Consider the following 27,061-nt stretch of genomic DNA (forward strand, 5'->3'; position numbering starts at 1 on the left):
ATTTATACTGTCACTCCATGCTGCCGTCATTGCACATTTTTCATATGTTACACTGGAATGATTCAGGCACTCTACTAACATAATTGGATTAGCTAGATGGTATTTTGGCAGACCTGAAAATCTGGAAAGACTGTTAATGAATCCTTTCCAAGGATCTGAATTCCCTCCTGAGCAGCAGAATCAGGGAGATCTTTGTCTTTCTATTCTTGCATCCATCCTTTCAACTCACTTATCTACCCAAAAATTACTTACTCAACTTTATATATAAAGGCATTTTTTACTGCAGACCTCTAGGAAATTTTTGTTGAGACTAGATTATAATCTCCACAAAAAGTGTCTGACCTACAGTAAGTGCTCTACGTTTTGTTGAAAGAATGGTGGGCACTTTATATCTTTATCACTCATTTCCAAATGCATAATCTGATGGTGGTCAATGTACACAGGCCCACCAGAGACCCAGCTGGCTAATCTAACTGGGCCAGAGCCAGGTGGCTTGTTTAAATCACTGTGGTGGGCAGAGTCCTAAATTGGCTCCCCAAGATATCCCTCAGACCATGAAACTTGGTGTCTGTGGTTATTACATAATCTGGCAAGAGATTTACAGATGTAATTATGATTCTCATCAGTTGACTTTGAGTCAAGCAAAAAGATGTGGTAGGCCTAATCACACAAGCCCTTTAAAATCATTTTGTCTGGTTTGTAGCAGAAAGGGAAGTCAGATAGATTCCAAGTATGAGAAGAACTGAATGCACCACGCCCAGCTTAAAGATGGAAGGAGCCATGTGTCAAGAAATGTGGGTAGCTTCCTGGAGCTGAGAGTGGTACCTGACAGTCAGCAAGGAAATGGGGACCTCAGGACCACGATGCAACAATCTGGCAACTCAATGAGCTTAGCAGCAGACTCTTCCCCTAGACTCCAGACCAAAGCCCAGCCTGGGACTCAGCTTGATTTCAGCTTTGAGACCCTAAACAAAAAAAATTCCAGTCAAATCTGCCCATCTGGCCTACAGAACTGTAAGATACTGTTTGTGGTAATTTGTTAAGCAGCAACAGAAAACTAGTAACATAACCACTCCATACACTAGAAAGTGGTTTTTTTTGCAAGGACCAAATCCTGTAATTACAGCAGGTTTGTTACTAACTCATTTGCTGTCATGCAAGCTCTTCCCTGCTCTTCCCTTTCCTGAATTTCTGCTTTCCTTTTCCATGACCATGGAAATACTGTCCAGGAAAGAATTCCACCAAAAATTAGTTTTTATATCTGAAAATAAGATCAGTTAAGGTACTAAAAGAAAACTTCTTTGGGCATTGTCCAGCTTATAATACTGCCCTTTTATAATCAACCCACAAAGATAAATCAAGGAATAAACTTATCAATAACCAAAAAGGTCCACATCCATGCCAATAAATTTATAAAAATTAAAAAATACACTACAAATCAGATATTGAAAGTGCATGCAAATTATCTTATGAGAACTGTCTTGCAACCTGACAGGATATTAAAAAAATAGAAACTAAAAATTCAATAAATAAATAAAAAGAGAACTGTCTCAACATAGAAAACAATCAAATAAATATGTACACTGAGTCAGAAAATTATTTTAATAGTTACAAAAATTTTTTTTTTTTTTTTTTACAGAATCAGTATAAAATAGCAGTTGATTTCTCCATAATTATCAGAATTATTTATACTTGAGGTCTTGGCTAAGTGGGGCTGAAATCAACAAAAGGTCTTGGACTGTTGGCTCAGAAATCATCCTAGAAAGCCCGCCCTGTTGATATCTGTCATGCTTAGCTCTTATGAGATGACCCAGTCCTTAAAAAAAAAAAAAAAAAAAAAAAAAAAAGAATCTCTCTTTATTCATTCTTTGGAGGCTTGAAGTGAATTCGGCAGCGTTCATTAAACACCTAAAATATTGAAACAGAAACAAAAGTCATTGAGTTATCCTGCGTAAATCAGGCCTGGAACTAAATTCAATTTAGTAGGCTCCAAAAGGCTATTACCATTTTTGTCCTAAGTCAACAGATTTAGGAAACAGAAGAGTTTCCTCAGCAGTTCAAACTGACTTATGAGGTGCCAAATGCACAGAAGGCCTTGACATCCATTTACAAGACAATTCTAGTATTTTAATAAAATTTAAGTTACTTCGGGAAAAAATCATCAAGAGCCAGGTAATTTAGTTACTAGCAAACATTTCAATTTCATATTCTGGACATTTTTTAAACAACAACACAAAAATATCTAAAATAAGTTAAATAAAGAATGCTCAATAACTAAATGTCCACATGGAACTGTGTTAAATAAAAATTTGGTATGGTTATTCAATGGAATACATGCAAGGTTAAAAATAATTTATGTTCTGATTTAAAAAGATCTCCAAGATTATCAAGGGAAAAAAAAGTGTGAATAGTACAGTTTCACTTGTGTAACAAAGGTAGAAAAATACACACACACATAAAATTAGAAAAGGTTTGAGTATCTGAAAGCATATACCATCTTTCAGAGGGAAGGGAAAGTAGGAGGTAGCTGAAGGAGAGGGACAGAAGGCAGAATTTTTACTGTATATTACTATTTTTAAAATTTTTAAAACATTTTTAATATTAAAAAAATTTAAATCATGTCAAAAATTTTAAGTGTCCAATTATAACAATTCTGAAATTGAAAAGAATTTTTTCTCAGAATTTACCCCCATACATCATTAATGTAAAGAACAAATCACTTTTTAGGTTAAAAAAAAACAAACTACCTATGTTGGCTGCCATTGACTATTATAAAAATAAAAGAAAAATCTAAACACAGAGGTTGTGAGGTACTGTTACTCTATTTCTTTTTATTTATTTATTTTTTTGAGACGGAGTTTCGCTCTTGTCGCCCAGGCTGGAGTGCAATGGCGTGATCTCGGCTCACTGAAACCTCCACCTCCTGGGTTCAAGCAATTCTCCCGCCTCAGCCTCCCGAGTAGCTGGGACTACAGGCACCCGCCACCATGCCCAGCTAATTTTTTGTATTTTTAGTAGAGACGGGGTTTCACCCTGTTGGTCAGGCTGGTATCGAACTCCTGACCTCAAGAGACCCACTCACCTCGGCCTCCCAAAGTGCTGGGATTACAGGCGTGAGCCAGTAAAGTGCTGCGCCTGACCTATTATTCAATTTCTTAAGCTGAGTGGTAGATACATGAATATTCATTTTATTAATATTCATTAAATTCTACATGTCACATAATCTTTCGCATATGCATCTCACAATTAATAGAAAATATGTAGAAATTATATAGACTCTGTCTAGCCCTTTTGTCTTACAATTCATCTCACCCATTTCCAGCCCTGACATTTCCCTGAAATTCCCAATCAGACAAGAGGGAGGCTTCAGTTTAGTGGCCTTGACACACTGGTTGGGGTGATATATACAACTTGGCTGAGCTTCTCCAAATCCTTTTCCCAAATGATTTCCTATCCACTTCTGCTGGCCCACTGCACCAGAGCACCATGGCTACATTTTCTTCTTTTTAAAACAAGTAGGGGCCTCATCTTCTGTGGAGTGGATAGAACATATTTTCTTTAAAACTAATATTAAATTCAAAATAGTTCACTCTTCCCACTACATTTTACATATATCATAAACTTCTGCACTTGTTTTTTCAAGCCAGATGTTTCATTGTACCCCTTCCCCATCCAATCCCAAGAGTAAATATTATTTTTCCAGAGAATATAAATGGGAAATATTGCCAAATCCTCTCAAGTGACAGACACCTTATCATGTTGGTGGAAAGGGCAGGAATAGGAAACCTTGGCAAAGAGGATAAGATAGAGAAATGTGATAAAGCAAAGAAAGCCAATTTGTATTTTGCAATGTGTTCATGTCTCAGCAAGCCGGTACATTCTGGTTTTGGTTCAGCTAACCTCTCTTATAAGCATATAGTTTAACAACATTCCAGTAGTTAAATTCAAATGATAAAACAGAATTTTCAGTACATTTTCTCAGATTTAATAGATTTTTGCCCTTCGTAAATCTTTTAGAGTTTTAGAGAGGGGTAAATGGATATACTTTTTCAGAAAACTAAAGTCAGAGTTTCATGAATTTTGACTATATGTTTCTGGGATCTGGTCCCCTAATCTAGTTCCTAACAAGAACTATGCAATGATAATAAGGAGCTTGTAAATCTATGAGCAATAAAAAGCCTTATCAGATACCAGTAAAACTACATATAATAACAAGTTTTATGATCAGGTAAGTTAGAAGACAAGCAACCGTATAGGTTACCTAATGATAGGAAAACTTACGGAAAGTAACTGAGCTCAAAAAGGCTAATTTGAACAAATAGCCTCCTTGAAGGTTCTGAGTAGTAACTCTAAATAGCAACCATGCCTGTAATTAGTGTTAGGAGACATAGAGAATGTCTCTAATGCTGTTATGATGGCAGCTCATTCAGTTCTATCATATGCTTATAAAGCTAATTTTGTTTTGTTTTGTTTTGGTTTTTTTTTTTGGAGATGGAGTCTCATTCTGTTGCCCAGGCTGGAGTGCAATGGCTTGATCTCAGCTCACTCCAACCTCTGCCTCCTGGGTTCGAGCGATTCTCCTGCCTCAGCCTCCCGAGTAGCTGGGATTACAGGCTCATGCCACCACGCTAATTTTTGTATTTTTAGTAGACACCTGACTTCAGGTGACCCACCCACCTTGGCCTCCCAAAGTGTTGGGATTACAGGTGTGAGCCACCTCGCCTGGCCCTGTAAAGCTAATCGTTATAAAATGGCTCTAATTAGATGCTAACTGCATCCTGCTCTCCCTACCCTCCCCCCAACCCCAAAAGGTTACAATCCTCAATTGTAAATGTAAACGAGTGATCTCTACTTTCCTTACAGCCTCAAGGCACTCTTTACTCCCCCTCCCTTGGTTTCCCTTTGCTAGTTCAGTTTCCCTCCTACTTCTTTCCAAACACCAACATTATTTTATACCTTCCAGCTCCTGTCATTTACCACTTCTTCAACATTCAGTTCTGACTGCATCCATTTCAACTGCAAGAAAAAAAAAAATTGAAGTTATAAAATTTAAAGAGCAAGAAAAAAAACTGAAGTTATAAAATTTAAAGAGCTAAAACCACACTCATGTTTACCCAACAAAACCTGCTACTGCTCTAGTATTTTTGTCTGTTAATGGCAGAGTTTGGAAGCTTCTTTGACACAATCAGCTTTCCCCATATCTAATCAATTGCTAATCTCAAACTTTGCTGCATATCCTAATCACCTTGAGAGCTTTAAAAAAAAAATATCCCAAGGCCAGTCAGTTCACAGAAGACATACAAAAGGCCAGTAAACATAACAAAATGCCAATCTTACTCCAGTATAAAGAAATGCAAATTAAGCCATAACATGGCAGAATGAATAAGTTTGATAAAACCTAACATTAGTGAAGGTACGTGAAAAGATATACTCATATATTCTTAGTAAGAGTATAAATTGTTACAAAATCTATGGAGGGCAATTTGGCAAGAATCATAGGAAATGTACATTCTCATGTCCTTGAACCCAGGGATTCCAGTTCTAGAGATTGATCATACAACTACAGACTTGCAAAGATAGCACAGAGGAAAAAAAGGACAAGGAAGTGCAAACCTGACCTGAATAGAGAATTAAGAAAAAAAACCCTCAGGGAGGAAAGAGAATATACATGGAAGTGATCTAGAAAGGCATGCGTTTCCTCACACCTTAACCATACAGTCAGAGGTCTCAGGCTAAAAATGCCAAGTCTTTCTAGCTTTCTTTATAACTGCCAACCTAATTACTCCAACAGAAAAGTAGCCAATTCCATTGCCAGGCCCTGAGAGCAGGACTCACCATACTCCCAGTAGCATTTTGTTAGAGGACTTGAAGGGGAAAAAGCTGGCTAGTTCCAGGCAGAAGGCTTGAAAATATTCAGGAAAATGAGGAGAAAAAAGCATGAACTATAGGTTGATGCCAACTAAGAGGTTAACACCAGGACGATTTCCTCAGGCCAAAGTGAAGAACCCAGGCCAGATTTGGGAACAAAATGTCAGAAAGCTCAACAAGATCTGGGCAAGCATGAATCTGACACCTAGGCCAAAGACCCTGGCCAACCAGGAGCGCAGTTCAGGCAGGAGGTTTGAGAAATTTGTGGCAACAACGATAAGAATGGAACTTCGGACAGATCCAATGGCTCCTTGCAAACTCCCTTCTTAGATTCAGAACTGGCGTCAAAGCGTAGGCCTGTACATATGGCTAGAACTGTGGAACAAGGAGAAGGACTCATTCTGACAATTAGTCCTGTGCTGTGCAGTAGTAACAAGCCTGAAGAAGCCCACCAATGCAACCTAAGTTCCCATTTTAATCAGCCATACAGACCAAAATCATTAAAGCTCCACTTCTCTGACAAAGCCTGGACTGACTGCCAAAGAAATAATTTCAGTTGAAGAACAGTGTGAAAGTCACTAAGATAGTCTTCAAAACTGCTCTCAAATATTTAAAGGGATACTATGTAGAAAAGGGTTCAGAATTATCCTGGGTAACTCCAGAGAGAAGATTAAGAAGCAGTACTTATATATCATGGGAGCAGAATTTCACAATATGAAAATCTTCGAACATTAGAACTGTCCAAAAGAGAATACCCTGACACTGAGACAGGGAATCCTCCCCTGTCACAACACCCTGCCCTTAAGCAGTAGTGAAACAAAAGCTAGAAACCACTGGTTGGTGATATGACAAAGAAGATTAATGCAACAAATATGGAGTCCCAGAGACTCATAAAGGAAAGAAACTGCTACTTTGTAGCAGCCAATATGCTAGCTCTTACTTACATCCTTGAATCCTCCCCGCACATGCCCCCCAGAAATAAGAAGTTATTAGGTATCAACTCCATTTTACAGATTCAAAATCAGACTTTTCAGAACAATTAATACACAAGGTTACAAAGCCACCAAGGTAGGTGGGATTTATTTCCTCAGAGCTGTCTGCCTTTGGATTATTTTTTAAAATTCTACAACATTGCAGATATTACAGCCAATTTCTAATACAATTTTATCAGTGCTACCAACAAACTGTCACCTTTGAGACAGTTGTCTTTGAGACTGTAGGTCTTCAACAGGTAAACTTAAGGCCACTAACATGTGACAGCAGTTATAGAGGTCCAGCAACGAAGGTGCTTTTTTTGAGTTAAATATTCAGGTAAACTAGTGGGGATTTTTTGACTGGCATCTGTCTATAAATGAAATATACTCACTAAAGTATCTGACTATTAGTCACAACTTAAAGAAACTGACTGAATGCAGGGTCAGAAGAGATGGGTTAAAGTCCCAGTTCTACCACTTACTAGCTTGTGGCTTTGGGGGTGTCAGTTAGTATCTCAAGTATCTCTGAGTCTTTTTCCTCAGATAGAAAATGAAGAGGTAGAGCTGTACCATCTCCAAGAGCTCTCTCTGATTCCATAATCTTCATAGCAAACTTGAAAATTGAAAAAAAAAATTCACATTTCCTTATTTGCTTATGTACTACCCCATGGTTACCCCCAACCCTATATGTTATCAAGCTAGAAAGCAAACCTCATGCAACTCACTGATTGGTTTCTAAACCCTCCTTGCAGTGGTCATCCTGGTGATTCTATCTGGGCCCTAAAGACACAAGGGCAGATCTCAAGGCTGAGCAAATTGTGTGTCACAATCATTCCCAAACACTCAGTAGAGTTTTGAACTTTGCTCTCCACTAATGAGTCACTCTGTTGTTTGACTTGATCTGCAAACAGTGACTTTTCAGTTTCCAATTTAACAGCCTTTGCCCTGCAGTTTCCTTTGTCAACACCTTCAAGGGCGTTGAAATACAAACTCCAAAATTACTAGACTTTCACCAGTTTTATATAAATTATCTATATGCCGGCTGGACACGGTGGCTCATGCCTGTAATCCCAGCACTTTGGGAAGCTGAGACGGGCAGATCACAAGGTCAGGAGTTCGAGACCAGTCTGGCCAACATGGTGAAACCCTGTCTCTACTAAAAATACAAAAAAAAATTAGCTGGACGTGGTGGCAGGCACCTGTAACCCCAGCTACTAGGGAGGCTGAGGCAGGAGAATCTCTTGAACCTGGGAGGCGGAAGTTTCAGTGAGCCAAGATTGCACCACTGCACTCCAGCCCAGGCGATAGTGCGAGACTCCATCTCAAAAATAAATAAATAAATAAATAAATAAATAAATAAATAAATAAATAATCTATATGCCTTCATGAACAGCAAGGGGAGTAAGATCAACATCACTGCATAAGGTCACTGTCCAAGGGATCCACCAGTGCCTGTGGCATGAGCAGGTATGGAATACAGACCTGACGCAGTAGTCATGAACAAAGAGAGCAGCAAAGACAGTGGCTGAGTCCTGGATCCAGTGAGACATCCAGAATTGGCGGAATGATCGAAAAAGTGCAGCAGCCTGGCCTACTCACCTTGTGTGCAGCCAGCTACAAGGAAAGAGGTTTCTTTTCTTTTCTACTAATAGTTTTCAATAGATGACGAGGTCCCCTTTTCAAAGTTCAGCTACATCTACTAAACAAAGGGCAAACTTCATGACTGTGCAGTATGAAAAGCATGACTCAATCCCACAAGGATCCGTAAGTCACCTATTATGCCATCTTAAAATACAAACATGAAGTCAGGTGTGATGGCTCACACCTATAATCCTAGCACTTTGGGAGGCTGAGGAAGGTGGATCACTTTGAGCTCAGGAGTTTGAGATAAACCCGTGTAACATGGTGAGACTCCATCTCTACCCAAAATACAAAAAATAAGCTGGGTGTGGTGGTTCGCGCCCGTAGTCCCAGCTACTGGGGAGGCTGAGGCAGGATTGCTTGAGCCCCAGAACCAGAGGTTGCAGTAAGCTGAGATTGCAACACTGCACTCCAGCCTAGGTGACAGAGTGAGACCCCATCTCAAAAAACAAAAAAAAAACCATGATTTTGATAATTGTACACTGGTCCTGTAGGAAAAGTCCCTGTTCTTAGAAATAACTAATGAGTTTAAGGGTAAAGTGGTACAATGTGTATAACATAGTCTCAAAATGGTTCATGAAAAAACTGTATTTATGCATACAGGTGTGTGGGGAGACAGGGAGAGGGAGGAAGGCAGGGAAGGATGAAGAGAAGGAGAGAGGGAGGGTGAAGAGAAGGAGAGAGGGAGGGTGAAGAGAATGAACTGTAAAGCAGGTGGGGCAACATATAAACAATAAGTGAATATAGGTAAAGGGCACATGGGAGTTCCTTACACTATTCTTACAACTTTTTGGTAAGTTTGAAATTATACAAGATAAAAAGTTACCCCCTAAGAGTCCCCTCAAAAGAAAGACAGCAATAAATCCCACATAATAAAATATGCTGTATTTTTCTATTGTTTCCTTGACACGTCACATACAAGTGCTGTAAAGAAACAGTTCTGCTGCATTAACTGTATTCTGAAGTCTACACCCTATCTACATTATAGTTGATTTGGGAAAATAAGGCTTCCTCTGACACATCCCTAGGTAGGTACTTGCTATTTTCTTAAAAGTAAAAACACTGCAGGGATAGGGGAGGAAATGGGAAAAAGTCATGTCCAAGAAAAAGCCAAAGATCCCTAGCAACTTTTACACAGTAGGGAAATAAATTATAATGAGGTACAAGTAAATCTGGTTATATTTAAATCATACTATATTTTTATGGCTAACGAGGGTAATATCCTGAAGTTAAATAGTCTATATTACATTTCAGCAGATTTCTACACAATGAAACTGGAGCTATTTCCAAAATATATTAGAGATGTTTTTCTCAGGTTATGTCTCAAAAGGCAGATACTGTACAGATGTGATTTCCCCAGAATTTCTGATGTGGTACTTCACCTGTAGTGATCCCTTGTCTTTAATAGTGGGAAAGAAACAAAGAAATGAAAATAAATTATGACTGTGCTTATTTTAGACAAAGCTGCTATGCTGCATTTGTTCAAGAAGTGCACATTAATTTACCAATTAATAACTAAACATAATAAAATAAAGCTCACTAAAAATGAAGCACTAATCTCTTGATCATTTTTTTAAGTAACTGCCATATTATATGCCAAAATTTTCATATTAAAAATCTTACTTTGAAGGCTACAATTGGAAAAACTTTGCCTGAGAAATGTTAATTCTGTTCAACTTACCTTTGTCTGCTCTTTTCTAAGTTGTTTTAATAACGTTAAATCGTCCAAATTCTTTTCTCTCTCTTCTCGGAGGTTTTTTACTACTGCTGAAGTCTGGGCTATACAGTTTTTTATGACTCTGTCTCTACTGGCATGAGCTGCCATCAACTAAAAGAACAAAGGAATGAAAGGAGAAAAAAAAACTGCATAAATTTATCACATTTTAGTGTTTTTCAAAAAAATCCTTGAGACTATAGAAATTCAATACTTTCTAAAACAATTTCTGACGACTGAAACCATGAAAGAGAAGATTGTGTTGAATCAGCTACCTCATCTAAAAACATAACTGGCAGCATCTCTGAGGGTGGAAGGTATGAGGTCTGGGGCTGTCCTCTTCCTCAATATGCTCCTGGTATTGACTTCAGCTTTCCTTCTGCATTCCCCAAGCTGGGCTTTTCTCACTTCAGTTTCCTCTGCCCTACACCACTGACTTTCCCCATGATTCCATTCATGTGTTCCTCTATTCTACAACCACCCGCACACACCTGGCCACTTAAACGGCTATTCTTCCTCTCTTTGTCCTTTCATATTTTTTCCTGTCTCACATTGTCAACAAGTGAAAGAAATTATAAACTAAGTCATGTATAGAAGATTTCATTACAATAAATAACAAAGAATGCTACCTTTACCTTCGCAAGACAGAGCCCTTTTCAAGATTATAAAATATAAGTATTGATAAGGAAAACTTATATATGAAGCACAGATTAGTGGTTGCATCAATTGTGTGTGCTTATTGAAATTAAGGATGTCTGACAGAACAACTCTTGATAACCTCCATCTTAATGCAACAAATTAATAAAAACATTTCTCATTTATTTCCCATCTTGATTCTAAAGTATCATGGTCATGTTTCAAACATACTTCCATAATCATAGCCACATTTTGATAATACCCCAAAATCTGCATTTGTTAAACATTGTTTCAAGTTCATAGACTCTATTGTTCAGTATTGATTTTTATGTTTACCATGGGAATAAACAATGTAAAGCTAGAAAAATGTCATAGATTGAAGGGAATATGCTCTAATAAGATCTCATTGAAATTTACAAGTTTTACCTTGAGTATACTTTTGAGATTTGAAATTTCTAAAATGAGTGCTTCATAATAACCTTACTGATCAACTCCTAGGAAGAAGCGTTATTTGAAAAGGCAAATATCCCTTCTTCAGCTACAGAAGGAAGCTGGGTCAGGGATTAAAGTCAGGGTGAACATGAGCAACTTGGATATTTCATAGAGTTCTGCTTCTTGACTGACATAATACTTAAGGGAACTCAGTGGTGCTTATTGGTATGGGCACTCTGCTGCAGGCTCGATCCCTGGCACAAAGCTACTTGAAAAATTAAGCTTTACTTGATATACATGTTGCTGAATCCTTCCAGGATATAGATACAGAGAAAAACTCAAACACACACACAGGATTTCCAAAACAGAAGAGTTCTAAATTTAGTATGCAAGCTTATCCTGATTCAACAAGGAGATAAAAAACAACAACTTGTGATTCTCACAGGGCCTGTTAAAAAAAAAATGATAGCAGTAGCAGCAAACATTTTTTTGAGACAGGGTCTTGCTCTGTCACTCAGGCTGGACTGTGGTGGTGTGATCTTGGCTCACTGCAACCTCTGCCTTCTGGGCTCAAGCAATCCTCCTGCCTTAGCCTCCCAGGTAGCTGGGACTATAGGCGCACACCACTACGTCCAGCTAATTTTTGTATTTTTTGTGGAGATGTGGTTTCGCCATGTCACCCAGGCTTGTCTTGAACTCCTGGACTCAAGTGATCCTCTCACCTCAGCCTCCCAAAGTGTTGGGATTACAGGTGTGAGCCACTGCACCTGGCCAGCAATATTTGTATACAAAACACTTAGTACTGTAAGCACTTTATAATTCAATGCGCCAACAACTCTATGAACTAGGTACCATTATTATACTATTTTACAAATATTAAAACTGAGGCAGACAGCCGGGCATGTTGGCTCACGCCTGTAATCCCAGCACTCTGGGAGGCCAAGGCGGGTGGATCACTTGAGGTCAGCAGTTCAAGACCAGACTGGCCAACAGGGTGAAAACCCTATCTCTACCAAAAAATACAAAAAAAATCAGCCAGGCATGGTAGCGTGTGCCTGTAGTCCCAGCTACTTGGGAGGCTGAGGTGCAAGAATCATTTGAACCCAGGAGGTGGAGGCTGCACTGAGCTGAGATTCTGCCACTGTACTCCAGCCTGGGTGACAAAGTGAGACACTGTCTCAAAAAAAAAAAAAAAAAAAAAAAAACTGAGGCAGAGGTTATGTGACATAATCAAGGTTACCCAGCTAGGAGGTAGCAGATGTGAGATTAATCTAGATCTAGAGTCCATATTGTTAATCACTACACTATAAACGTCTAGGTTAATAGGAAGATTGTAAATGGAAACAATTTTATAGATTATGGAGATTATATGAGTAGTGAGGTGAGAGAGGGAGTATCACCAAAGTGACCATAAATTCTAGTTCTTCAGACAGAGGTACCCAAAGAAAGTGAACTGTCAAACAACCTCATAGCCAATTAGGACTAGGTCCCATCCTGTCGACTCCCAATACTGAATTCTACTCATTAAAGTCCACAATCTTATGATTTTCTCAAAGAAGACTTACCTGCTCATTTAAAATAACATACTTTAACACAGAACAAAAATATCAGTAGTTAATGCTCTGAATTTAACTGACATGGATAAGCTTGTCCAAAACTGATCTGAGAAAGGCAGTTTAGGTTTTAAGGATGCCTTCTTTACGACTATGAATCCAAACAGTAACCTTGTGGTAGAGCTTAAAATAGCAAGTGTCATTTGAACTTTAGCTTCCAAATTACTAAAAGAATATAGGTAAATAAACTATAAAAAAGATTTTGCTGCATCATTATTTCCTTCTGCTTTTGGAGACTAAAAAAGAGAAATAAAGGGGGGCAATGAAAAATGTATACTTGAGAAACCAAAGCCTCAGGAAAGGACAACTGATCCACTGGCTTTCCTTCTCTCCCAGTTGCCAAATGCTTCTATTCCCCTTCCTGAGGAGTGAGAAAAAGAAGGTTTAAAGGTGTGAAGGGTTTTAATTCTTCCTTGTACCAGCTGCCTGGCTTTTTAGGACTGACGTGCTCACATTCCTTGCTCTTGTTACTGTTTTACTTCACTGTTTCACTCTCCTCCTTTCATTCCTTTGTACATAAGGTCTCCTTAAGTTAAAGGCTACAAAACAACTGCTCCCATTCTTTAGAACCATTTCTTCCCAGGTTTGGTAAGATTTCACAAGCGTAAGGTCACACATTTTCTTTAATGTGTAGTAACCAGATCAAAACTTATATACACCATCAGGTATAGGCAAAGAAAAGATGTCATTCCTTTAGTCACAGTCGAGTTACAAGATAACTGATTTCTTATTCAGCCTGCAAAGAAAGGCATGAAAGAAGCAAAAGACTCAAAAAATACACTTACAGACTCATAAAGTTGTTTACAGGTTTGGCTGGCATCAATTTTCCCTGCAAAGGAAGCTGTTGGAACCGTAGTGTTTAATTCATGTACTATTCTGTCATCAATTGTCCTCATCACCTTGAGTAATTCCTATATGTATTTAAAATAAAAGAATATAACCCAAATGGAAAGTTAGTGACAAAAAATAAGCATTTAAGTAAAAAATAAAGCTCTTGGATATTTTACAATCCTTTAAGTCAGGAGTGAGGAAACCAAGCCAAATACATGCAACCATAAGAAAATGTTCAAGGACAATAGGTAGGTTAAGTAATGGTAATCCTAACAGTGGGCACCAACTCTGCCTCCTTGGCTCAAATGTGATTGTCTTAAGGGTTAAGACTGTTTTACTCATGTTGAAATCCCATTTGCTGGCACGGTGTTTAGCAAACAGTGTATGCTCCTTCCACCTCCAGCATACAGCCAATAAAGTGTACTACTAGTTTTTATTTTTTCTTAGTAACCATAGCTCATATGTTCCAAGGATCCATCTTACCTCAGAAAGCCTCCAACTCTCAAAAAAAAAAAAAAAAAAAAAAAACCAACAGAAAAATAATATCAAAAGGGCAGGGAACTTAAAAAGACTGGTAGTAAGTACCTACACAGCACAACCCCTCCTACCCACATATGATCAGTGTACTTCTTTTCACTTGTCACTAGAGAAAGGCTGGACATCAGCTACATCTCGTCTTCAGTTAAACTCTGGGAGAAGTTTCTGGCAGTATATCTTTCTCTTTCTTTTTAGTTTCTCAAATTTACAAAATATTCAAACAAGAACAAGAACAACAACAACAACAACAAAACACAGCCACTTAAAAAGCATCAAGAAAATGGCTGGGCACGGTGGCTCACACCTGTAATCCCAACACTTTAGGAGGCTGAGGCAGGAGTATCACTTGAACCCAGAAATTTGAGACCAGCCTTAATGACAGACATAGTGAGACCCTGTCTCTACAAAAAAAAAATTTTTTTTAATTAGCCGGACATGGTGACTCATGCCTACAATCCTAGCTACCTGGGAGGCTGGGGCAGGAAGATCACTGAACCCAGGAGTACAAGGCTGCAGTGAGCTATGATCACACCACTGTACTCCTGCCTGGGCAATAGTAAGACCCTGTCTCTTAAAAAAAGAAAGAACGAATGAAAATAAAACAGAATTATATAATACTAGGAATATACTTATTATTGAAAACATCCAAGTTAATATTCAATATTAATATGTATTAAAAGCAACGTTTGATTCTTTTTCCCTCAATATACTATGCTACTTCTTACCTTTGCCAAACTTAAATCCATGACTGAAACCAACTCCTTTCTTTCCTCGTCCATTTGTTAAAATAAAAATTATTATTATTATTACTTTCATTTTAGAAAAGTTAGAAAAAAACTTTAAATAAAAATCATCCATAGTTAACCATTATCAACATTTTAATATGTCCCTTTGGTCTTTTTTCTACACATACCTATTAATGTTTTTATACAACTGAGGTACTATGTAACATTTTAAAATCTGGCTTCAAGACATTATATTATGAGCATAATATAATGTTGCTAGAAATGTCTTGAAAGTTTTTTTTTTTTTGAGACAGGGTCTCACTCTGTTGCTCAGGCTGGAGTGCAGTGGCGCGATCTTGGCTCACTGTAACCTCTGCCTCCTGGGCTCAGGTGATCCTCCCACCTCAGCCCCTCAAATAGCTGCAACCACAGGCATGTGCAATACACCTTGCTAATTTTTTTGTATATTTTTGTAGAGAGAGGGTTTCACCACATGGCCCAGGCTGGTCTTGAACTCCTGGACTCAAGCGATCCACCGGCCTCAGCCTCCCAAAGTGCTGGGATTACAGGCAAAAGCCACCGCACCCAGCCCTGAAGATATTTTAAATAGTTGCGTTTAAGTATTCTATCCTGTTCAAGCACAACTCATTTGGCCACTTTCTCATTAACAAACATTTAGGTTGTTTCCAATTATAAACCATTTAGCCCATTCAATCTAAGTCTGTAGTCTAGATTCTGTTCTATCATTCCACTAATTTTTAATTAGTGAATTTAATGGCCTTTTCTATACCTCAATCTAGAAGTGAAACGGCTTGCAGAAGGCTCATAATTCAGACTAATAAAACACTAGCAAATATCAGGTCTAAAACCAAGTTCATTATCTTCTCGTCCTGTATCTTTCTATTTTTTTAATAGTATTCTCTGTAAACTGGAATTCTTAAGGAATAATCTCAATGCATTCATTGGGCAACCACCACACATAGTGAAGGATATATGTATTGTGCTTAAGTGGTAAATTCCAAACAAATGATGGCAGTACTATTTGGGAAGTCCAAAAAAAAAAATAGGTAAGTAGAAGACAGGGACCTACCTTGCCACTTTACCTCCTATGACTGGCCTATTTTTTTTTTTTTTTTTAAAAAAAAAGCCTCTTTAAATTCTCTTTCAAAACCTTCCTTTTCGCTATCTAAACTGAACTGATCTTCTGAGGCCAAGGGTTAAGTTGTGCCTTTTGGATAGAGGTTTCCTTGGTTATGAAAGCCCTCAGCAATATTTGTCTTTAAATAATGCAGCAGTAAGAGACAGTATCACAGAGCTCATTATTTATTAACTCATTCTTCATATAATTACTGTCATCCCTTAGTATCCATGGGGGTTTGGTTCCAGGTCCTCCTATGGTTAACAAAATCCAAGGATGCTCAAGTCCCTGATATAAAATGGCACAATATTTGTATATAACCTATGCACATCCTTCCATATACTTTAAATAATCTCTAGATTACTTATATCTAATACAATATAAATGCTATGTAAATAGGTGTTAGTTACACTGTATTGTGTAGGGTATGATAACAAGAAAAATGTCTGTACATGTTCAGTATGGATGCAACTTTTTTTTCAACTATCTTCGATCCACGGTTGATTGAATCCATGGATGTAAAACCCATAGATATGGGAGGGCCAACTGTCCTATGTCTAGCATGTGTCAGGCACCATTCAAAACATCAAGGCTACAGTAGCGAATAAAAGAGGTCCTTGCTCTTACAGAGCAAAATTCCTGAAGGGGGAGATAGAAATTAAACAAGTGTCCTATAAACAAGATAATCTCAGATACTAAAAAGTACTATGAAAAAGAAAACAAACTAAGGTGATGAGATGAAGAGTGACTGAGTGGTGCTTGGGGGCTACTTCAGATAGACATCAAAAAAGGCTTTTCTGAGGATGTAACATTTGCGCTAAAATCTAAATGACATGATTGAACCAACGATAGGAACATCTGGGCTGGGGGTGGTGGCTCATGCCTGTAATCCCAGCAATTTGAGAGGCTGAGGCAAGGTAGGAGGATTGCTTGAGCTGAGGAGGTTGAGGCACTGGTGAGCCATGATTGCACCACTGCACTCCAGCCTGGGCAACACAGCGAGACTCTGTCTAAAACAAACAAACAAACAAAAAAACTGGTAGCAGTAGAATTAAGGAGAGGTAGTTGGACTTAGGATATATTTTGAAGATAGAGCTAACAGAAATTGCTGAATTGGTGGTCAGGGACGAGAAAATAAAATAGCATGACTTCCAGGCTTGGGGCCTAAGCATCTAATTGTATGGAAGTGCCATTAACTTATGGTGGGGGAGACTGGGGAAGGAAGAGACTTGGAAAGAGTAGGAACATCAAGAGTTGTATTCTGACTCAGGCTATCTGGTGATTACTGTTCATTGTCTGTATGTGGCAATAGTATGGTGTTAGAAAGTTGTAATCTTTTGGAGATATAGACAGAAATTTTACAGAAAAAAATGATATGGTATTTGGGATGACCTCAAAATGATCGGATTAGGGTGGGATATGTGGTAGTAGCGAACAGATGAAACAAGAGTAGCCATGAATTAGTTAGTTGTTGGAGTTGGGGGATGGGTACATGAGTGTTTGTGGTACAGCCTTCTTTTGTGTTATGTTTAAAATCTTGTATAATAAAACTTTTTTTTAAAGTTTTGTTGTGGCAACAGATATTGGTAAGCATGCAGAGAAAAGGGAACGCTTATACACTGTTGACAGAAATGTAAATTAGTACAACCTCTATGGAATATGTGGAGACTTCTCAGAGAACCAACAACAGAACTACCATTTGACCCAGCAGTCCCACTACTGGGTACTTACCCAAAGGAAAATAAATCATTATATAAAAAACACACCTAGAGGATGGGCGCAGTGGCTCACGCCTGACTTTGGGAGGCCAAGGTGGGTGGATCATGAGGTCAGGAGTTCGAGATCAGCCTGACCAACATGGTGAAACCCCATCTCTACTAAAAATACAAAAATTAGACTGGCATGGTGGCGCGCACCTGTAATCCCAGCTACTTGGGGAGGCTGAGGCAGGAAAATCACTTGAACAAGGGAGGCAGAGGTTGCAGTGAGCCGAGATCGTGCCACTGCATTCCAGCCTGCCTGGGCAGCAGAGAGAGACTCCGTCTCAAAAAAAAAAAAAAAAAAAAAAAGACACCTGTACTTATATGTTGATCACAGCACTATTCACAGCAGCAAGCTAAGTGTCCATCAACAGTTGACTGGATAAAGAAAATATGGTGTACGTATACACACACATATATATAGAATACCATGCAGCCACAGAAAAGAATGAAATCATCCAGGCATGGTGGCTCACGTCTGTAATCCAGCACTTTGGGAGGCTGAGGTGGGTGGATCACCTGAGGTCAGGAGTTCAAGACCAGCTTGGACAACACGGTGAAACCCCATCTCTACTAAAAATACAAAAAAATAGCTGGGTGTGGTGGTAGGTGCCTGTAATCCTAACTATTTGGGACTCTGAGGCAGGAGAATAGCTTGAACCCAGGAGGTGGAGGTTGCAGTGAACCAAGATTGCACCATTGCACTCCAGCCTGGGAAACAAGAACGAAACTCTGTCTCCAAGTCTCCAAAAAAAGAAGAAAAATTATGAAATCATGTCCTTTGCAGCAACATGGATGGAGCTGGAGGCCATTAAGTGAAATAACTCAAAACAGAAAATCAAATACCAAATGTGCTTGCTTATAAATGGTAGCTAAACAATGGGTACATATAGACATAAAGATGGAAAGAATAGACATTGGGGACTCCAAAGGGCAAGGGTAAGGAGGAAGGTGGGGGGTGAAAAATTACCTGTTGGGTACTATGTTCATAATTTGTGTGATGGGTAAATTAGAAGGCTATCAAGCAGGTGCAGTGGCTCACACCTGTAATCCCAGCACTTTGGGAGGCTGAGGTGGGTGGATCACGAGGTCAGGAGTTTGAGACCAGTTTGGCCATGGCAAAACCCCGTCTTTACCAAAAATACAAAAAATTAGCCGCGCATGGTGGCGCACACCTGTAGTCTCAGCTACTTAGGAGGCTAAGGCAGGAGAATTGCTTGAACCCAGCACGCAGAGGTTGCAGTGGGCTGAGATCACGCCACTGTACTCCAGCCTGGGTGACAAAGCGAGACTCCATCTCCGAAAAGAAACCTGTATATGTACCCCCAAATCTAAAATTTTTTAAATTAGAAAAAACAAAAAACAAAAAACAAAGCTCTGTTTTGGACTTGTTAACGTTTGAGATGCCTATTAGATATCTGAGTAGAAGAGTGGAATAGAAAGTAGAGTATGCCAGTCTGACACTGATCGGGGTGGAGTTATATTAATAAACTGATGTTCTTTAAAACCATGAAACTAGAAGAGATCACTGGAGGAGACTGTAGAAAGCGAAGGAGGCCAATGATTAAGGAATTCTTACATCTAAAAGTAAAGGAAAAATTCTGTGATGTCACGGAAGTCAGAAGAAAGGTTTAACGGAGGGATTGGTCATTTGTGTTGAATGTTACTAACTCAAGAATTATATGGGGCCAGGTGTGGTAGCTCACATCTGTAATCCCAGCTCTTTGGCAGATTCAGGCGGGAGGACTGCTTACGGCTAGGAGTTCAAGACCAGCCTGGGCAACACAGTAAGACTCTGTCTCAACAAAAGTAAAAAATTTAGCCAAGCATGGTGGCATGTGCCTACAGTCCTAGCTACTTGGGATGCTGGGGCAGAAGGATCACTTGAGCCCAGGAGTTCAAGGTTACGGTTACCTATGATGTGCCACTGCCCTCCAGCCTTGGTGACTATGTCTCAAAAAAATTTTAAATGAATAAATGATTATATGAACAGAAATTAAACTTTTAAACTTAGCAGGATGGAAATCAAGGGTGACCTTAAAGAGAGCCATATAAATAGAGTGTTTAATGGACTGAAAAGGTAATGTGGCTTAAGTACACAGAGAAAGATAAAACATGGTGTAACATGAGGTCCATTATTAGAGGTCATATGATAGGATTTTAGTCTTTTCTGAGACCCACAGGGAACCAAACATGTGTTTTCTGTTGTGATTAAGGTTACATGATCAGATCTGTGTTCTAAAATGACTGCTTAGATTAAAGTGGACTGCAGAGGAACTAGAGTAGGTGTCAAAAGATCAGTTAGACGACTGCAGCAATCCACGTGAAAGATTACATCGTTTGACATTTCCTGGGGTTTGTGTTGACTCTGAACTTTAACCAGTTTTGAGTTTGAACACTTTAGCCCGATTCATCTCCAATAAAACAATTTGGACATACTACTAAATTCCTTACATAGCAATGGGAATCTATCCACATTAACTATGTAATGAGTCCATCAATTTTATTGTATTACCAGTGGAACCTATGGATTATCAAATAGTCATGTAGTGCTTAATGACAAGGAAACATTCTGAGAAATGTGTCATTGGGTGATTCTGTTGTGTGAACATCATAGAGTGTACTTACACAAACCTAGATGGTATGGCCTACTTACACACTTAGGCTATATAGTATAGATGATTGCTTTTAGGCTACAAACCTATACAGCAGGTTACTGTACTGAATGCTGTGGGCAACTGTAACACAGTGATACTTGTGTATCTAAATATATCTACATATGGAAAAGGTGCAGTAAAAATATGGTGTTATAATCTCATGGGACCACCGTTGTATATGTAGTCAGTCACTGACTGAAACATCATTATGTGGAGCATGACTCTGTATCAATTTTTCTGTGTGTACTAGAGAATTATCAATATATGATCTAGAGCTTGCCTTTAACATGGCAGACATTAGCCATGTGAGATTATTTAAATTAAAATTAAATGCAATTTAAAATTTAGTTCCTTAATTGCACTAGTCACATTTCAAGTATTCAAGAGCCACCTGTTGCTAGTGGCTATCATATGGAGATAGCATAAATGCAAAACATTCCCACCATCACAGAAAGTCCTACTGGACAGTGCTATATTCTAGAAAATATAATGACAACCCCTAAACTGATAATGTACTTGTTCAGGAATTGCTGAAAACTGTATGCCATTCTTAAATGTCACAGAAGAGATACCAGAAAAGCTAAAGAGAAAGAAAAAAAGGGAGGTAAAATGATTGGGGAAGGAAACATTGTAGCGAAATAAAGTGTGGGTGATGAAGTAGTAGAGGCATGCCATTTAGTCAATCATTTCAGCTATGAAAAGAAGGAGATTCGAATTTTATTTATAGGAACCTGTTGAGAACAGTGAATGTTCTGTCCAACATAGTAGCCCCTCAGTGTTTTTGTGGTGTAATGAGACAGGAAGTGATTTCTTTCAAAATTGAAAAGGGAGAAGGAAAAGAACTGTAAACCGTCTCACCAGGCTCACATTTCTTCACAGGGAAAAAAGTGCCAAAGCTGTTAAGGCAACTCCAAGAGGTTCTAGGCAAAAGTTCGGGCTGCCCTCACACATTGTGAGCAAACGAAGGTGAATGAAGGCACAAAAATGCTGCCATTGAATTATGTGGATCATCCATAAGGAATTACTGACTACCTACCGGAGGCTTAGCCCCAATGGCATACACTCCTGTCCAGAAATTCACCAAGAAAATACATAGAAGACACCCCTGAACAGAACAGACATTATACACAATAAACTGCAACACCTGTCCACAGAAATAACACAGAAATACACACAGTTCAATGGTTCTCTGAAGGCTGCATCTTGTGTAGAACCCTCATGAGCTTCTAAACATTAAATCACAGCCAAAGATAACTTTATAAATTCTGTAGTACTCCCAGCTTCTTCTATCTTTCATCCTCCTCAAAACAAGAAGAGATCTGATATATCATGAACCTCTCATTGTAGGCTGACTCTGAAATTATGCAGGCGTTTTTCTTGGAATGCATTTTATGTCTTCTCTGTAATTGGTGGGGTAAAAATCTCATCCTCTTGGAAGGCAATTTAGGTATTGAAGGAGTGCCTATATTTAGTAGTGGGAAGGGGTAGAGAAAACTTTCTGTTGCCCCTACAATTATACTATAGTCTATTCCTAAGATTCATTCTCAGGTAAAGTTATTTTATAATTCTACATATTTTTTAGGGTACATAGGGGTGAGGAGTAGGAAAGGGGCCATTATATAACTAAAATACACTGTACTCCAAAGAATGATATGGAACTCCCTTAACCTTTCCTCTCCTCTCCCTTTGCCTGATGGTACCCAGAAGTAATGTCATTGGTACTTGACATCAAAGTCCCTTTTACATGATGCTCTTTTCAGACAGATCTGGTTCCTCAAACTCTATTTTTACATCAAAGCTCCCACGGTGCTTCCCCCAAACCAGAAACACAAACTTGTCTACAACTGCCAGAGTCCTCTAACACCCAGCATCCCCAGGACAGGAATAGAAAGCAGCCCTGTAAGCATAAAAGAAACCATCATTGATGCTAGAAAATAACCTATTTAGTACCTAATTACAATGTGATTCAAAAATCACTTATGTGTCAATGAATATTCCTAATAGAAATACTAATATTTAAACATGCATGTTGAAGTGCTGGGGGGTGGGTATGATGAAAGAGACACGTATGAGGACAATAATAAGAGACATGACAAGAGGCACTTTGGGATTGGATTTTAAAAGGTCTTATATGCCATGTTAAGAAGTTTATATCTAGTCATATGAACCCAAAACTCAAAAGCATAGCTTAGATTATAAAATTCAGAATATAATAGCATATGCCACAGTATTATGGAGATTAGATTGAAGGGGGAATATAGTAGAGAAAAAAAGTGCCAGAAGATAGGAAGGCCTGTTGCAAAGCTAGTTTCAAAAATGATACGGGCCTAAACAAAGCCACTGGCAGTAGTGATGAATCTTCCTAAAGCACCTCTTCGATCATCTCACCCCTCTGCCCAAAAAGGACTCCCTAACTCACACGTGACACACAAGGCTTTCCACAAATCTGGTTGCAATCTTGTGTAATCCCAATGTGCCCCTGTATGAATAATGTGTTCTAGCAATACTGATTTTCTATTTCCTTTAAATACATAAAACTTTTTTGTCTATTATCCTATTGCCTCTGCCTAGAATACCCCTAGTCCCTGCCTGCCTAAGGCCCAACTCTCTAAATTCTTTCAGCATTTTATTCTTTTTTCTTCCCAATATTTTCTACATTTTATAGCCCTACTTAGATTACGTTCCTTGTTTTATACTCCATCCACTGGGTTTCGCAAGTGCCAGGAGACTAGTAGGTATCTGTTACGGGTTGAATTGTGTGTCCCCAAAATTCATGAATCCCTAATCCCCAACATGACTGTATCTGGAGATAGGGCCTTGAGGTATGTAATAAAGGTTAAACAGAGGTCATAAGGGTGGGCCCTAATCCGATAGAACTGATGTCCCTATAAGAAGAGGAAGAGATAGGCTGGGCGCCATGGCTCACGCCTGTAATCCCAGCATTTCGGAAGGCTGAAAGGGGTGCGGATCACCTGAGGTCTGGAGTTTGGAACCAGCCTGGTCAACATGGTGAAACCCCATCTCTACTAAAAATACAAAAATTAACCGGGCACGGTGGTAGGCGCCTATAATCCCAGCTACTCAGGAGGAGAATCGCTTGAACTCGGGAGGTGGAGGTTGGAGTGAGCCAAGATTGTGCCACTGCACTCCAGCCTGGGGGATAGAGCGAGACTCTGTCTCAAAAAAAAAATAAAAAAAAAAAAAAAAAGAAGAGGAGGAAGAGATAGCAGAGATCCTTCTCCTTCCAGGTGCAGGCACAGAGAAGAGATAGTGACATAGAGAAGACATGGTGAGAAAGCAGCCATTTACAAGCCAGGAAGAGAAGCCTTACTATAACTAATTCTGATGGCACTCTTTTTCCCCCCTTAAATCAAACTGTATAGCCTAGAAACTGATGGCAGCTTAATCTTGGACTTCTAGTCTCCAGAACTGTGAAAAAATAAATCTCTATTGTTTAAGCCACCTAGTCTGTGGTATTTTGTTATGGCAGCCCTAGCGGACTAATACAGTATCTAATAAATTCTTGAATGCATGCTAAAATGGGATTCTAGGCACTCGATTTTAAACACTCTTTTCTGGATTTTATTTCAATTTGGAAATAGGATATTTTACAGAAGTACTAAATCTAATTTTTATAATGAAAAAATAAGAGTTGCAAAAATTTTAAACACTTTAGGCCGGGCGTGGTGACTCACGCCTGTAATCCCAACACTTTGGGAGGACGAGGCAAGAGGATTATTTGGTGAGACACTCTCGCTACAAAATTTCTTTTAAAAAATTACCCGGGCGTGGTGACACGTGCCTGTAGTCCTAGCTACAGGGAGGCTGAGGCAGTATTCAAGAATACCACTACCTTCAAACCGTTCAAAGTACAAAGCTTACTACAGATAGGTCAATTTTTCAGTATCTTGGGTTAGTTAATAATGCAATACATATTTAAGATCATGATTTTGGAATTCAACTTTGTAACTAAACAGAAGCACATTTATGACTGAATTGGAACAGATAACTTTAATGGCAACTTGGTCAAAACCAGATCCCTATTCTTGCATTCAGGTGTTAATAATTAGCCCTAGGTCTCTGATATTTGAACATAAAAAGGCAAAACCTCTAAATATTACATCTTCTCTAATGGGCAATGACACTAGAGCAGGTACTATAATTAATCCTCCCTCCAAGCTTCCATACGTCCTGTCCCACAAAAATAGTAAATTGCACCAAGTATGTTTTATCAACTAAATAGCTCTTCTGCACCTTCTTCTCTCCCACAAAAACTCTACTTACAAAAGTAGGAGAGGAATGGCAGAAGCTGGAAACTGAGTTCAGGGAACTGCTACAAGATTGTTACAATCCTTATCCACGCATCCCGAGCTTTACCACAGCAGATTACCCAGAGCTTCCCAGACAAGGCCGGAGAGCCGCGGAGAGAACTATGACCCCCCTCCTCCCTCCTCCTACAGAGCAGCCTCGCTCCCTAAGGCCAAACCCGCGCCCCCCATGACCTCCAATGGCTCGAGAAAAGAGCTTTGAATTGCCCGCTTTTTCCAAAGCTGGTTCATACTCCCTCGCAAAGCAGGGAATAGGGTCTGGGGACAAAAGGAGGCACATGCCTGCCACATGAGGAAAACCCCATCACCTGGAACTCGGCGAACTCCTCACAGTTCACACCGCCACTGGGCGCCGCCATATTGGACAAACACGAGGACCCCGCTGCAGGCCAATCACCGCGGAGCAAAGGTGACCGCGGAGTCGCCTGACAAAAAATATAGTACGAGGGGAATCCTTAGGAAAGCTGAGTGCAAGGCTTGAGTTCAACGTGGTCCGCATCCACCTCGGAACCTGTCACCCTGCTGTCCCAACCCTTTTAACATGTCCTCCTGGAACTGGGCCAGATACATGGATCAAAGATTGTCAGACCTTGAAGGGACTGTTTACTCCAATCCCATCTTTTCACAAAAGGGAAACAATTTCCTTGTGGTTCCCCTACCAGGTCGTTGAAGGAAATCTAGGCAAGTGAGGCCTTTCTAATACCTCTCACTCCAGTGCCTAACCTCCTCCCCGGACCCTGGAGCAGGGGGGTCTTTGTTAAGAATTTGGGACCACTAAGAAACGTCAAGAAAAAACGGCATTTCTGGCAGTGTGGGTGGGTATGAGTAAAGTGTTTAGGATGGAGATGATCAAATGTTTTTAGAAAATAGGTAAATAGAAAACAAATTGAAAACATACATGTTAATTTCTCAGATTAGCCTGAGGGATGCTCCAACAAGAGATAGGGCCACTGAGCAGAGTCCAATTATGTGTTTTCTGATAAAAGCATATGTTCATTGAAAACACTGGAAGAGCGGCATACTGGAATACTGGTTTATCTGGTGTATTTCGGGAGTTTACAGATCACGAAAGTTGCACATTTCCTTTCTATTTCACACAGGTACTCCCATGGGTACATATCCGCTAGGGCAAGGGCCCACGGCGCCACACTCCACAGGACCATCTCCGAGGCTGGCTCAGGATGCGGCGCCAGGGGCACTAGGCTGGCGCCGCGGGTCTCCAGCGCGTGGCGCACGTCCTACACGCCCCGCACTGGCGCAGGCCTGTACACCGCGTCGCGCACGCCCCGCCCCCCGGCGCCGCCTGCGTCCTTCCCACTCCAACGCTGGGTGACATTGAGCTCACCAGCGCCACCGTCCCCGGCGAAGTTCTGCGCTGGTCGGCGGAGTAGCAAGTGGCCATGGGGAGCCTCAGCGGTCTGCGCCTGGCAGCAGGTGAGACGCCGGTCGGGATATGGGAGGTAGGGGAGCTGGCCCGGCCGCTGCGGGTGGGGGAATCCTGAAGCCTTCCTGGGCCCCGGAGTGGCTCCATTCCATGACGCACTTTCTCGGTTCCTCAGAATCCTACCTACTTAGTAGCCATGTGGGAGGGAACTAGGTGAGCAGCTGCTGATAGGCATTGGAGACTGCCCGTGAATTACCCTCATCTCCATCCACCCAGCTCCCACCAACTTAACTGCCCACGCGCCTACCCTTCTCCCCACCCCCGTCCTCAGCCTCCCCTGAGCTCAGTCTGTAAAGCACCTACTATCCCTAGACCTCCCCTTTACCCATGCATTCAGCTTTCCACCCTAACCTCCCCTATCTATTGCTCTCCTTGAGTCTTCCCTCTTCCCCCTGCTCCTTCCTCTCTGGAGTTTATCCCAGAAAACCTCCAGTCTGAAGTTTCCCCACTCATTAAATGTCTGATTAGGCCAAGGATTTAGGTCTTAGAGATTAATAATAATTGTTTTCTTAAAATGGAGGATACATTACTTTTAAACACTTATACAATTAATTGATTCGAATTTCTTGGAGGAAGTGTGTAATTGAAGGATCTGCAGTTTGTTTTGGTGGTAGACATTTGTGTGATGACTATTTTGGACTTAGGTAATGAAAGCTTAATTCTTTTTTTTTGGGAGAACCAGCAGAGCCTTGGCATAGTAGGGGTTGAGAAATCAGAGGGCTTGCATTTTGACTCTTTTCTGGGTACCAGAGATCTTTTGTTC

The 27,061-nt window shown here is 39.9% G+C and overlaps 2 protein-coding genes across 9 annotated transcripts in view, besides 6 other annotated features; one reads left to right on the forward strand and one right to left on the reverse strand.

Moving 5' to 3' along the window:
• Positions 398 to 598: a silencer, noted in NCBI's record as "peak4796 fragment used in MPRA reporter construct". NCBI's record gives its function as "represses an SCP1 promoter by STARR-seq MPRAs in K562 erythroleukemia cells {active_cell/tissue: K562}" and the evidence as "EXISTENCE:reporter gene assay evidence [ECO:0000049][PMID:32103011]".
• MIX23 (mitochondrial matrix import factor 23) lies at positions 1,580 to 25,220 on the reverse strand. Of its 8 annotated transcripts, none has more exons than XM_047447427.1 (6): positions 25,163 to 25,220; positions 14,972 to 15,011; positions 13,664 to 13,789; positions 10,165 to 10,311; positions 4,957 to 5,016; positions 1,580 to 1,908 (listed from the first exon to the last, which is right to left on the reverse strand). In XM_047447427.1, exons 2-6 carry the CDS (start codon positions 14,990 to 14,992, stop codon positions 1,858 to 1,860), a joined length of 405 nt encoding a protein of 134 aa, XP_047303383.1. In that variant the 5' UTR covers positions 14,993 to 15,011; positions 25,163 to 25,220; the 3' UTR covers positions 1,580 to 1,857. The 8 variants fall into 8 exon arrangements, with proteins under 8 accessions (XP_047303383.1, NP_001017928.1, NP_001295255.1 ...); XM_047447425.1 differs by lacking the exon at positions 1,580 to 1,908 and adding an exon at positions 7,325 to 7,455 and having other exon boundaries at positions 4,952 to 5,016; NM_001017928.4 differs by lacking the exon at positions 14,972 to 15,011.
• Positions 7,633 to 7,777: an enhancer, noted in NCBI's record as "145 bp enhancer 1/2 fragment used in the MPRA reporter construct; PK_construct_1761". NCBI's record gives its function as "activates an SV40 promoter by MPRA in HepG2 cells {active_cell/tissue: HepG2}" and the evidence as "EXISTENCE:reporter gene assay evidence [ECO:0000049][PMID:23512712]".
• Positions 7,698 to 7,711: a transcriptional cis regulatory region, noted in NCBI's record as "HNF4 motif; enhancer activity is reduced when this motif is scrambled". NCBI's record gives its function as "necessary for full MPRA enhancer 1/2 activity {active_cell/tissue: HepG2}" and the evidence as "EXISTENCE:site-directed mutagenesis evidence [ECO:0005528][PMID:23512712]".
• Positions 25,982 to 26,482: an enhancer, noted in NCBI's record as "H3K27ac hESC enhancer chr3:122102840-122103340 (GRCh37/hg19 assembly coordinates)". NCBI's record gives its function as "activates a minimal SCP1, AML or CMV promoter by ChIP-STARR-seq in naive and primed H9 embryonic stem cells {active_cell/tissue: H9 hESC(naive and primed)}" and the evidence as "EXISTENCE:reporter gene assay evidence [ECO:0000049][PMID:30033119]".
• Positions 26,066 to 26,215: a silencer, noted in NCBI's record as "silent region_14640". NCBI's record gives its function as "represses an Ori minimal core promoter by ATAC-STARR-seq in GM12878 lymphoblastoid cells {active_cell/tissue: GM12878}" and the evidence as "EXISTENCE:reporter gene assay evidence [ECO:0000049][PMID:35858748]".
• The window catches only part of FAM162A (family with sequence similarity 162 member A), a 28,153-nt gene continuing 27,262 nt past the window's right edge, over positions 26,171 to 27,061 (forward strand). Inside the window, exon 1 of the mRNA NM_014367.4 lies at positions 26,171 to 26,288. Coding sequence (NP_055182.3) covers positions 26,255 to 26,288 — 34 coding nt within the window. The 5' untranslated portion in view covers positions 26,171 to 26,254. The remainder of the gene's footprint in view (positions 26,289 to 27,061) is intronic.
• Positions 26,306 to 26,355: an enhancer, noted in NCBI's record as "active region_20367". NCBI's record gives its function as "activates an Ori minimal core promoter by ATAC-STARR-seq in GM12878 lymphoblastoid cells {active_cell/tissue: GM12878}" and the evidence as "EXISTENCE:reporter gene assay evidence [ECO:0000049][PMID:35858748]".

This window comes from Homo sapiens, chromosome 3, assembly GCF_000001405.40.
Source record: "Homo sapiens chromosome 3, GRCh38.p14 Primary Assembly".
NCBI classification, from domain to species: domain Eukaryota; kingdom Metazoa; phylum Chordata; class Mammalia; order Primates; family Hominidae; genus Homo; species Homo sapiens.